Source organism: Homo sapiens, chromosome 5 (genome assembly GCF_000001405.40).
Source record: "Homo sapiens chromosome 5, GRCh38.p14 Primary Assembly".
NCBI classification, from domain to species: Eukaryota; Metazoa; Chordata; class Mammalia; order Primates; family Hominidae; genus Homo; species Homo sapiens.
Window position 1 is genome coordinate 54,383,761 of NC_000005.10, and position 12,403 is coordinate 54,396,163.

General features: G+C 38.4%; 1 long non-coding RNA gene across 1 annotated transcript in view, besides 2 other annotated features; it reads left to right on the plus strand.

Moving 5' to 3' along the window:
• LINC01033 (long intergenic non-protein coding RNA 1033) overlaps positions 1-12,403 on the plus strand; it is a 94,182-nt gene that overhangs the window by 62,817 nt on the left and 18,962 nt on the right. The gene's annotated exons all lie outside the window — the stretch shown is intronic.
• Positions 6,769-6,898: an enhancer, noted in NCBI's record as "active region_22548". NCBI's record gives its function as "activates an Ori minimal core promoter by ATAC-STARR-seq in GM12878 lymphoblastoid cells {active_cell/tissue: GM12878}" and the evidence as "EXISTENCE:reporter gene assay evidence [ECO:0000049][PMID:35858748]".
• Positions 6,909-7,038: an enhancer, noted in NCBI's record as "active region_22549". NCBI's record gives its function as "activates an Ori minimal core promoter by ATAC-STARR-seq in GM12878 lymphoblastoid cells {active_cell/tissue: GM12878}" and the evidence as "EXISTENCE:reporter gene assay evidence [ECO:0000049][PMID:35858748]".

Consider the following 12,403-nt stretch of genomic DNA (forward strand, 5'->3'; position numbering starts at 1 on the left):
GTTCCTTGCCGGTACTCCAACCATGGTGTGTATGTGTTGAGAAATAAACAAGCCAGAAACAAACTTAGAAGTTCCTTAAAGGTGTCAACCTTAAATAATGAGATTCAAAAAATATATTAAGTATAGAGTTTATTCGAGTGCAAAGTTTGAGGATAGCCACCCAGAGACATTGACTCCAAATGAATGCAACAAGCATTCCAAAGTAGAGAAGTTAAATTTCAGCAGCATGGCAACATTTTCCATACACGACCAGTGCACACACACATCACAGTGATTTGATTGGTTACGAACTGCTACATTCTAAGGAAGATTGCTTTATTACTCCAAGAGGAAGAGTAGTGAGCTGAGGGAGTCTTATCTCTGGGGAACTTTGTTCTTAATTATTTACAGAAAATAAAAAAGGCAGAAGTTGCAGCTGCATGCCATGTGACTTAAGCTGCATAGCCACATTCCTCTCAAGGCTCAGGATAACTTCAATTTCAAACAGCTTTAAGTTTGAATTATTTTAAGTTTGAATTATTTAATTTCACAAAGGCTACAGCCATGTTTTCTCTGCTCTTTCCTCAATGTGGGATCCTTCATGTCATTGAATTCTTTATTGGACATCTATTATGTATAAAGCCCCAAAAGATAACTGATGAGGAGTTTTTTTTATCTCAGAGTAGGATGGAGGTGTGAGGCCAGGGAGCAGAGCCTGCTCTAGATGTTACCACTTTTCTCAGGGTGCTTAACCTGCTTCAGTGCGGCCGTTGCTACCGCCCGCTGGTGCACTTCTGAGGTTATTCTCCACCGTGCCAGAACCTCCCGCCATCCTCTGCTAGGGGAAAGATGAAAGAGCATACTATTTACTTTTTTTAGTCTTTATACTTTGCCTCCCTTGATACCAAAGGATGGGCAGGAGCATGTCTGACCTCCTGATGTGGATGTTGCAATTGGGTTGAGGCTGCTGGATTTACTTAGTACCAAATGCTCTCTTTTGCCTGACTTCCTGCCAAGCCTAGGTGCATATAACCACTTGGGCGGTGGCCACCCCCAGTGATTTGAACTTATAGGACGGTAGAAGTATGTGAATCATGTTGCTTCAAGAAATTCAGTTATTCTCCAAGTTCTAAAATAAAATCTGGTGGATGTTTGTTAGAAGCTAGGTACTTAACTCTTCAGAAAAAGGAAAATCTGAAAGAAAAATATATTTAAAAGTGGTCTAAGATGGCTGCAGATTGGACATAGACAATAGAAACTAGGCCTATGAATTAAAGCTGAACCCTCACCAGCAAGGCTGCAGTCTGTCAAATATTTCACTGATATGTACGAATTATAATACAACCCTATCTATCAGATATAGCATAAAGGCAGGATAAAATCAATCATCCCTCTCCAGACCCTAAGATGCCCACATACTTGCTAACCTTTTACCCTATATAACTTAACCAGACTGTTGCTTTATCTTATGTACAATGTCTCTGAGCACCAATCAGAATTGTGAGAATGTCACCTTTACTTTATTACCCCTTTCTCTCATTTTCTATGTAATGGAACACATGAATACCGTGCCTCATGTAACCCACTCTGAGACTCATTATCGGTTTGTGCTAAGTCAGTGTTTTCAGGGGCTATTTGTCCTCAAACTTGGCTAAGGTGAAATTAACTTTACATTTTTAACATTATAATGCCTTTTGTTTCAGCTTTCAGTCAACACGTCAAGGGAAGGAAGAAAGATTAAATATTATTTATATACCTGTGTCTCAGACAGGCAGAAATGTAGGCTTTGGGATAAGCGATGGTCTGGAGAACCTGGAGGGAGAGACAAAGAAATTGCAACTCTTTGGGCTTAAACGGAAGCTTCAATTAGAGAAGAGAGTTGAAATGGAGAGAATTTCTATTGTCTAATTCAAGGCTGATGGGCTTCCTAAGTGTTTTAGGCTAGAATGAGCTCACATTTGGAGAATATTCTGAGCTCTTCAATAATACTTAAGATATATTAGGCATGATCAAATATGTAGTCATTTAAAGATGTTTCACTTTTTTTCCCTTTCAAAATTCTATTAGAGTTCTCAAATGCAAGAGCTGGGATAGAGAGTTTCTTCATTTCTGCAAAATGAAGACCATTGAATTATTTCTCTCTGTGATGAATTAAAAAAAATGCTGGGTCTAAAATCAAATCGTCTGCAAGTTTAAGACTTTGACTAGCTCAGATTCTGGCTATATTAGAATATTTGAGCCTGCTATCAAGTATAAGAACATGTGCAGGCCTCCTTTTTACCTCCTTCTATGAGTATTTTACCTTCTATTTCAAAATCAAGAACAGGAAATCCAACCCTGAGGGTTCCATTCCTGGCATATTTATGCCCCAGGCAGATTGAGAGAATAAAATAGACTTTTTACAAATGAAGAGATATCACGCTTTTTAGCCTGGGACAGGAAACTTTAGCTGTTGCTAAGGCAACTGCAGAGTTCTGGCTCTTAAGCTGGCTGTGCGAGGAGTATCTCAGAGCCCCAGATGCCTCTGCTGTCACTCACTGTCAGACCAAGTGCAAAGGACTTGGTAGTGAACTCACAGAAACAATGAGACCATTTTTGAATTCTGAAAAGCAAGTGAGGACTCTCAAGACAAAGTATACATATGGTACCTGCTATGGTTTGAATGTTTTTGTTCCCTTCAAAATACACATGTTAGAAACTTAATCCCCAACGCAACAGTGTTAAATGGTGGGGCCTTGAGGGAGGTGTTTAGGTCATGAGGACAGAGTCTTCATGAATGAATTAAAGCCACTATAAAAAGGGCTTGAGGGAGTGTGTTCTCTGTTCTGCTCTTCTGCCATGTGAGAACACAGAGTTCTTTCTCTCCAGAGGATGCAGCAACAAGCTGCCATATTGGAACCAGAGACTTAACCTGCCAGCACCCTGCTCTTGAACTTCCCAGGCTCCAAAACCATGACAAGTAAATTTCTGTTCTTTATAAATTACCCAATCTATGGTATTCTGTTACAGCAGCACAAAACCGATGAACACAATACCCTTTAAAAATAAACAATGGAATGATACTATAGTGGTCGATACATGTCATTATTATTTGTCAAAATCCATAAGAATCTACCTTACCAAGAGTGAACCCTAGTGTAAACTACAGACTTTGAGTGATAATGATGTGTCAATGTAGGTTCATCACCTATAAGAAATATACCATTCTGGTATGAGATATTCATAGTTGGGGAGGCTGTGTATGTGTTGTTTGTTGGGGGGCATATATGAGAACTCTCTGTACCTTCTGCTCACGCTTGCTGTGAACTGAAAACCACTAAAAAAAAAAAGTCTGTTTTTAAAAAATTGACATCCTTGGGGCTGGGAGAAAAGGGGACAAGTCCAAAGGGCTCAAAGCCAGGCTGCATGGGAAAGTTGTATTAGTCTGTAGAACAATAAACGAAGAAACCGTGGGTATGAAAGACCCAAAGAACACTCTGATGCTGATAAGAATGTCAGGCTGCTGTCTGGTTGAGAAAATAATTTGGCTTGCTCAGGCTGGAAAACCAGTAACATTGGGACAGACTGTCTTTCTTGTGGATGAAATTTGTGGATGAAATGTGGAAACATGCTGAGATTTGTAAAGGTTATGAACGAGAGAATATGGCCTTAAGAAAGGTGATGTTTTATATAATGATCTAATTAATGCAGATATCTATCCATCTCAGCCCCCTGCCTTGAGCCAGGAAACCTTACTCCTCCATGTCTATCCAGGGCCCAGACACTAGGGAATATTGTGTAACCACTTGAGCAGCGCCTGCAGGTACTGCTGTTTTGTTTTGCTCTCCTGCTGTTTCCTAGTCTCTGGTAACCATTTTTGTTGCAACTACTACTGTGGCCCTTGCAAAACGAGGGGTGTGTGTTGTGCCAGAGAGTAGGTGATATAAAAGTCAAAGCGAGAATGAGGCATCTCCCCAATAAAGCAATCTTGGGAAACCTGTGGTTAGGGCTGCATATACCCACGTCCACACCTTGCTGCCACATGGGGTCCCTTTTACTGCTCAAATAGACCAGTCTATTCCAGTGTCTCTTATCTTGACCTTAATAAGTCAAGGATGACCTTTTTATGAAGTATGTGCATGTGGAAAACACAGCGGAGCAATTAAAATGCTATTTTCTGCAGTTAGACTGCCAGGGTTGGCAGTTCAATTCTACCACTTACTAGCTGTGTGACCTTAAGCAAATTACTCAGCTGTGGGTCTCTTGGGTTCTTTATCTGTAAAATGAGAATAATAATAGCACTGACCTCATTGTGAGTTGTTGTGAGAATTAAATGATGTAATCCATGTAAAATGCTTAGAACAGTGCCTAGTACACTGTAATCACTGAAATTGGCTTATTGTTGCACTATTGGCTTTCTGGCTTGCTTTTGTTTAAATTAAGGCATAACTATCACATGGCTTGATATAATGCACTTGGGAATGGAAATATTGAGCTACATGACAAGGAACAATGTATTCTGGTACAGTTATATCAAGTTTCAATTTCATAACACAACTGAAAAAACAAAGTTTAAAAATGTTGACATATTTCTAGGTGGTTGCAGTGACAAAAATATAACCAACACAACAGATTTGAATCCCTCTAGCACTAACACCTGCTTTATGAAATATGTTCTATGGCATGTTTTCTTTAAGAGGTCGAGAAGCTTTAGATGATAAATTCTGTCCTATAATTTTAAAAAAGACAGCAGTGGTGATACATCCTGTTATACTGAGAATGGAAAAATCGACTTCAACTTGGTTCTTGTACTGTGTCTTGTTTTTCCATAAGGAGGAGGAGACTGTCCTCTACCAATTTCATTTATGCTTTTCTTGAGCCAAGACTGTGCTTGGCCATGCTTGTGGGTTGGCTCTTAAAGTGACGAACTGGTCACTGGGAAATTGTAGCTCCTCCTCGCCTTCCCCCGGTGTGCTTTCCTTACCAATCAAGTAGGGGAAATGGCCTTCTGGATTATGATCTATTGGTTTGGAGGTAGGGGTGGAGTGTGGGTGAATTTGAGTCACATCTACACTTCCCTAGGAAGCTGTTGCTTTTATTATGGTATTAGGAACTTTACAGATGTACATGCTAATATTAAGCTATTCTTGCTTAAAAATATTTTATTATATTAATCATTGTGGAATAATGGTTTAAAATGTTTCTGAAGTTACTAAATGCCTGGATAGAAATCAAACCCAAAAGAATTTTAAAAACACATGTAAAATTACTTGTCTAAGAGAAATTTCTGTGATGATGAAAATGTCTCTTCTGTGCTGTGTAATATGGTAACCAGTAGCCATATGTGGGTGTTGAGCACTTGAAAGTGAGTAGCATGACTGAGGAACTCAATTTGTAATTTTATTTAATTGTAATACATTTGAATTTAAATAGCCAGATGTGGCTAATGGTTACCATATCGGATAGTGTAAGTTTAAAACATAATGAAAAGTCACCTAACCTAAGCCTCATTTTCTTAGTATGCAAAAGGTGTGAATTAGGCCAATGGTTCTCTCGATCTTGGCAGTACAATGAAGTCACTCAAAGAATGTTAAAAGAGTACTGATACTTGGGTCTCCTGCTGTATTAGATCATTTTCATGCTGCTGATAAAGACATACCCAAGACTGGGTAATTTATAAAGAAAAAGAGGTTTAATGGACTCAGAGTTCCACATGGCTGGGGAGGCCTCACAATCATGGTGGAAAGCAAAAGGCATGTCTTACATGGTGGGAGAAAAGAGAGGATGAGAGCCAAGTGAAAGGGAAAGCCCCTTATAAAATCATCAGATCTCATGAGACTTATTCACTACCACTAGAACAGTATGGGGGAAACCGCCCCCATGACTCAATTATCTCCCACTGGGTCACTCCCACTACATGTGGGAATTGTGGGAGCTACAATTCAAGATGAGATTTGGGTGGGGACACAGCCAAACCATATCACCTGCCCAATATTATTTAGTTAGTCTAAGTCTAGTCATTGAGATTCTTCTAAAGCCTCTCAGGTAATCCTAAAGTACAGCTAAGGTTGGGAACCATCACTGAACTAGATTACCTTTAGGTTCTTTTTCAGTTCTATAATATAATTCTATATATTTAGCAGCAAATTGTACTAAATTTAGAATTCTATAAGGCAAATAGGACACTTATTACTTAAGCCAGTTGCAATAGAAAAGTACATATAGATGTTGGCTTTTTACAAAGGCTGTTTGTCCTAAAACGTTTCTGAAACTTAATGATATAAAACCAATAAACCAGGTTATTGTGATCTACTCCTCTTTGGAGTTTTTCCTGGCTGTGTCAGACCATGGCTTAGGCTATAGACAAGGAAGAGTCTATGTGTATGTACTTGTTTGGGATCTGACTGCAGCCTGTGTCAAGGTTTGGCCATCTGCCCATAAACCTGCATGGGGTGACATCACTGAGTAATCCAAGCTGCCAGTTTATGGAGATCTCAGTAGGAGGTCTTTGGGCTAATCATTTAGAGCACCACACAGCAACTGCTGAGTTTGTATCTTCCCTGGGATTAGAAAAATAAAGTTTTTGGCCAAGTCATTCTCTCTCAAAGCTACTATACAAATGGTTCCAGAAGGTATTCAGGACAGTGCTCCCAGGATTTTTAAGGCCTGAAACAAATGTACATTTCTTCTAGCTAATAAATTCCTCAAATAATGAGTGAAATAGGTACAAGTACTCAGTTTTCTCTAAAAACAAAACAAAACAAAAACAAAAAACTATTTGGTTTTAAGAGTTATACTCATAACAAGACTTTGTTTTGTTTTGTTTTGTTTGTCTGTGGGCCTTGACTAATTGATATAGTGTTTCTGTATGAGAGAACAAAGGACTACATATAGGTCAAATATTGGAGATTAACAAGGTGTTGGGGGAATCACTTTTGTTTGCCTGTGTGCCCACCCTAATCTTATCTTGAATTGTAACTCCCACAATTCCTATATGTCATGGGAGGAACCCAGTGGGAGGTGATTGAATATGGGTGGGTGGGTGTTTCCTGTGCTATTCTTGTGATTGACAGTGAATGAGTCTCACAAGATCTGACGGTTTTTAAAAACGGGAGTTTCCCTGCACAAATTTGCTTGCTGGCAACCATGTGAGATGGGACTTTCTCCTCCTTGACTTTCGCCATGATTGTGAGGCCTTCCCAGCCATGTGGAACTGTAAGTCCATTAAACCTTTTTCTTCCCAGTGTCGGGTATGTCTTTATCAGCAGCATGAAAACACACTAACACGCTTTAATAAACTGCTTTATTTACCATCACTTTAAAATAAAAGAGCAGACAATGGACCAGTGTAACAGAACAGAATCTGGAACCAGACTCCATATGGGTTTACACATCTGAATGACAAATGTGCTATTATAAATCAGTGGGGGAAAGGAATCCTGGGTAAATCTCACTGAGAAAATGCTTATCTTTACAGAAAAAGTAAAATAAAATAAAATTAGATTCCTACCTCACACCAATACATAAATCAATTCCAGGAAGATTAAGAATATAAATGTGAAAAAGCAAAACCTTTAGGCAAATTGTGGATGTAAATTATTCTCCAACTCTCAGGTCATACAGATAAGACAAAAATATCAGTGAAAAAGACTGAAATTTGACTACATGCAACTTAAAACTTCTATACAGTAAGATAGCAAAAACAAAACAAAAACACACACACACACACACAGACTGGGAAAATATGCTTGCAACACATAGTTGATAAAAATTGAAGGCTCTTACAAAGAAAAATAATAAGGCCAAAAGAAAAATGGCGAACTGATTCACACAGAGGGTATTATATTTGCCAGTAAACATAAATAAGATGTACTACCTCTTTAGTAACCAGGTAAATTCAATTTTTAAATAATATATAATTTCAAACTTACAAGATTGGCAAAAAGAATAAAAACTGACAATATCAAGACTTGGTAAGGATGTGGAACAATGGGAACTCTCAAACACTGCTATTTGGAGTGAAATTGGCACAGCCACTTTAGAAAGCAATTTAACAATATCAGGAAAAGTTGAAGGTATGTAATAGCTATAATCCAGCAATATTTTTGTAGCATGTATCCTGGAGAAAATTTTGCACACATGTGCAAGGTGACATTTATGGAACTACTCATTAAATTATTCCTTATAAAAGTAAATATTGCAAGTGAAATTGCCATCATTTGGAAAAATGCTAAGCAAGATGTGGTATAATCCCACAAATTAGTGAATTACAACTGTGTGTATCAATATGGATATGTCTCAACATAATGTTGAGTGAAAACTAATTATAGGACAAACAAAATGGTATTTATATAAACCTTAAAACAAGCAAAATTATACTATTTATTGTTTACAGGGCTTAGATAGATATGTAGTATAAAAACATTTATGGTTGCATTCACTTTGTGGGGAAGGGGATGAGATTGGGGGAAAACACAGAGGGTTTCAAATATCTCTAAAATGTTTTGTGTGTGTGTGTTTTTTTTTAATCAAGTGGAGTGGTAAGTTCACAGGTCTTCACTATATATAGCTTAAATGTTAAAGTGCTTCACCAAAAAATAAACAGCAGGCCGGGCGCAGTGGCTCACGCCTGTAATCCCAACACTTTGGGAGGCCGAGGCAGGTGGATCAACTGAAGTCAGGAGTTCAAGACCAGCATGGCCAACATGGCAAAACCCCATCTCTACCACAGATAGAAAAATTAACCGGGCATGATGGCAGGTGACCAGCTACTCAGGAGGCTGAGACATAAGAATTGCTTGAACCCAGGAGGCAGAGGTTGCAGTGAGCCGAGATCACGCCACTGAACTCCAGCATGGGGGACAGAGCAAGACTCTGTCTCCAAAAAAATAAAAATAAAAATAAAAATAAAAAAATAAACAGCCATAGGTAGACTATCTCCCAAAGAATAATCAATGATAAGATTTTGTTGATTAAGGAAAGAAAACCACAAACTCACAGCTTAAGAAAGCGTACAATATTAGACAATACAACACAGTTATTGAGCTCATATGTGTAGCAGATGTGAACCTCTGCCCAAAATTAAGGTATGCAGGAAATAATTCTTTTTTAGAAAAATATTTTAAGTTTTATTTAAGGTTCAGGTGTACATGTGCAGGTTCGTTACACAGGTAAACTTGTGACTTGGGGGTTTGGTGTACAGATTATTTTGTTATGCAGGTGCTAAGCATAGTACCCAACAGTTTTTTTTCTTGAACCTCTCCCTCTTCCCAGCCTCCTCCCTCAAGAAGGCCACAGTGTTTGTTGTTCCCCTGCTTCTATCCATGTGTTCTCATTATTTAGCTCCCACTTATAAGTGAGAACATGCAGTGTTTTGTTTTCTGTTCCTCCATTAGTTTGCTAAGGATAAAGGCCTCCAGCTCCACCCATGTTCCTGCAAAGGACATGATCTCATTCTTTTTCATGACTGCATAGTATTCCATGGTGTATATGTACCACATTTCATTTATCTGGTCTACCTTTGATGGGCATTTAGGTTGATTCCTTGTCTTTGCTATTGTGAATAGTGCTGCAATGAACATACACATGCATGTATCTTAATGGTAGAATGATTTATATACCTTTGGGTATATAACCAGTAGTGGGAATGCTGGGTCGAATGGTAGTTCTGTTTTTAGTTCTTTGAGGAATCGCCACACTGCTTTCTACAATGGTTGAACTAATTTGCACTCCCATCAGCAGTGTATAGGCATTCCCTTTTCTCTGCAACCTCACCAGCATCTGTTATTTTTTGACTTTTTAACAATAGCCTTTCTGACTAGTGTGAGATGGTATCTCACTCTCGTTTTGATTTGCATTTCTCTAGTGATTACTGATATTGAGTATTTTTTCATATGTTTGTTGGCTGCATGTATGTTTTCCTTTGGAAAGTATCTGTTTATGTCCTTTGCCCACTTTTTAATAGGATTGTTTTTTGCTAGATATTTAAGATCCTTATAGATTCTGGATATTAGACCTTTGTCAGATGCATTGTTTACAAATATTTTCTCCCATTCTGTAGCTTGTCTGCTTACTCTGTTGATAGTTCCTTTTGCTGTGCAGAAGCGCCTTAGTTTAATTGGGTCCCATTTGTTAATTTTTGCTTTTGTTGCAATTATTTTTGGCATTTTTGTAGTGAAATCTTTACCAGCTCCTATGTCCAAAATGGTATCTCTTAGGTTATCTTCCAGGGTTTTTATAGTTATAGGTTTTACAGTTAAGTCTTTAATTCATCTTGAGTTGATCTTTGTATCTCGTGTAAGGAAGGGGTTCAGTGTCAGTCTTCTGCGTATGGCTAGCCAGTTATCCCAGCACCCTTTATTAAATAGGGAGTCCTTTCCCCATTGCTTATTTTTATCAGCTTGTCAAAGGTCAGATGGCTATAGGTGTGTAGCTTTATTTCTGGGCTCTGTATCGATTTCATTGGTCTATGTGTCTGTTTTTGTACCAACATGCTGTTTTGGTTACTGTAGCCTTGAAGTACAGTTTGAAGTCAGGCAATATAATTCCTCCATCTTTGTTCTTTTTGCTTAGGGTTCCCTTGGTTATTTAAGATCTCTTTTCGTTCCATATGAATTTTAGAATAGTTTTTTTCTAGTTCTGTGAAGAATGTCATTGTTTGATAGGAATAGCATTGAATCTTTAAATTGCTTTGGGTAGTATGGCCATTTTAACAATATTGATTCTTCCTATCCATGAGCATGGAACGTTTTTCCATTTGTTTGTGTCACGTCTGATTTCTTTGAGCAGTGTTTTGTAATTCTTATTGCAGAGATCTTTTACCCGCCCTGGTTAGCTGTATTCCTGGGTATTTTATTATATCTGTGGCAATTATGAATGGGACTGCATTCCTGATTTTGCTTTCAGGAAATAATTTTTAATTATAGTAAAGATCAACCTCTTTTCTGTTTCAAGTCCCTATTCAGGCTTCAGTCAGTTGTAAGAAAGAGGAAACTGTTTGGTTTGAAGTGTGACCTATCCTGGTGAACACCTCTGGCTCTACTCCCCTGGCTGGCCTGACTGGCTTTCTGTTGTTGATTACCACAAGCCATGCCCTGACCATTTGAAGGGCTCTCTATGTTCTTTCCTAGCCATGCTTTGGGAGCAGAAATGCTTCTGTGAGAATGTCTGCCCTGGCCTTGACTGCCTGGGCAGAGGTAGGATAGTACACATTCACTGCTATTTAAAAAATATGACTCTGCCATATGAGGGAGTTTAGAAAGAAAAAGGATATATGGGGAAAAAAAGTAGCTGCTTAAGAAAATACAGCAAAAGTTAGCTGATCAATAATATTTAAAAGAGCTCACATTTTTTTGAAAAAGAAAAAGCACACATGCAAGATAGCTAAAACATATTACATTTCAACTCCATATCTTGTTAGAAACTTTGTTCCTAGCAGGTAATACATGATATAGATGTGAACTCAAAAACAAATGTTTTGGAAAATAGGCAGATGCATTGGATGGTCTTCAGATTCAGCCAGAATAGTTTTCCCATTCAGACAGGATTAAGAAGTGGGTATTGCTGGGAGCAGACCTACTTGAGGATGAATGAGGCTCTGGGCCTTAGAAAGTTCTACTATTTCTTGCCAGGTCCCAACTTGGCTGCTTTGTAAGAAGTGGACTTCTGCCTCCTCAGCCTAACCTGAAGAATAGAACCAGGTTTGTCTTAAGGAGTTTGGTATATATTCAGGCCCCTCTTGGTACTTTAGATTCTATCTACTTTTTGGTATCTGCATATCTTTTATGACAGGAGACTAATTTCTTTTTTGTTATTCACAATTGGAGATATCTTTAAAGACAAGTACCTGGTGAGGAGATAAATAACATTTGCTAAAACTTATTCTTACTCAGCCAGTGATTTTCCAAGTGTGGTCCCTAGACCAACAACACAAGCATCACCTGGGGACTTGTTAGAAATGCAAATTCTTGGGCTCCATCTCAGGCCTCCATAATGAGAAACCCCAGAGGCCCAGCCTGCTAAAATTTGGGAACATATGAACAATCAAACTAACATTTTCTCAAACCAAACCAAACAGTTTTCTCTTTCTCGCAACTGACTGAAGCCTGAATAGGGACTTGAAACAGAAAAGGAGTTGATCTTTATTAAAATTAAACTGAACAGTCAAATAAACAGATAAGAATAGTAACTCTTCTACTTCCCAGCCCTCTCATGCTTCCTAGTCCCAACTTGATTGGAGATAAAAGGTAATAGATAAAGCAGAGGAGCTTTGGGGCTAGAGGACAAAATGTAGAAAGCACAGAAGTAGTGTTAGATGGTGTTCAGTGGGAACCATGTGTGAAGGCACACCTATCCTTGGTTGCTCAGTGGAACAGTGTTGAAGCCAATGTTGCCATTTGCAATATGCAAATGCATAATTTGTTGAACGACTGACTAAGCACTGACA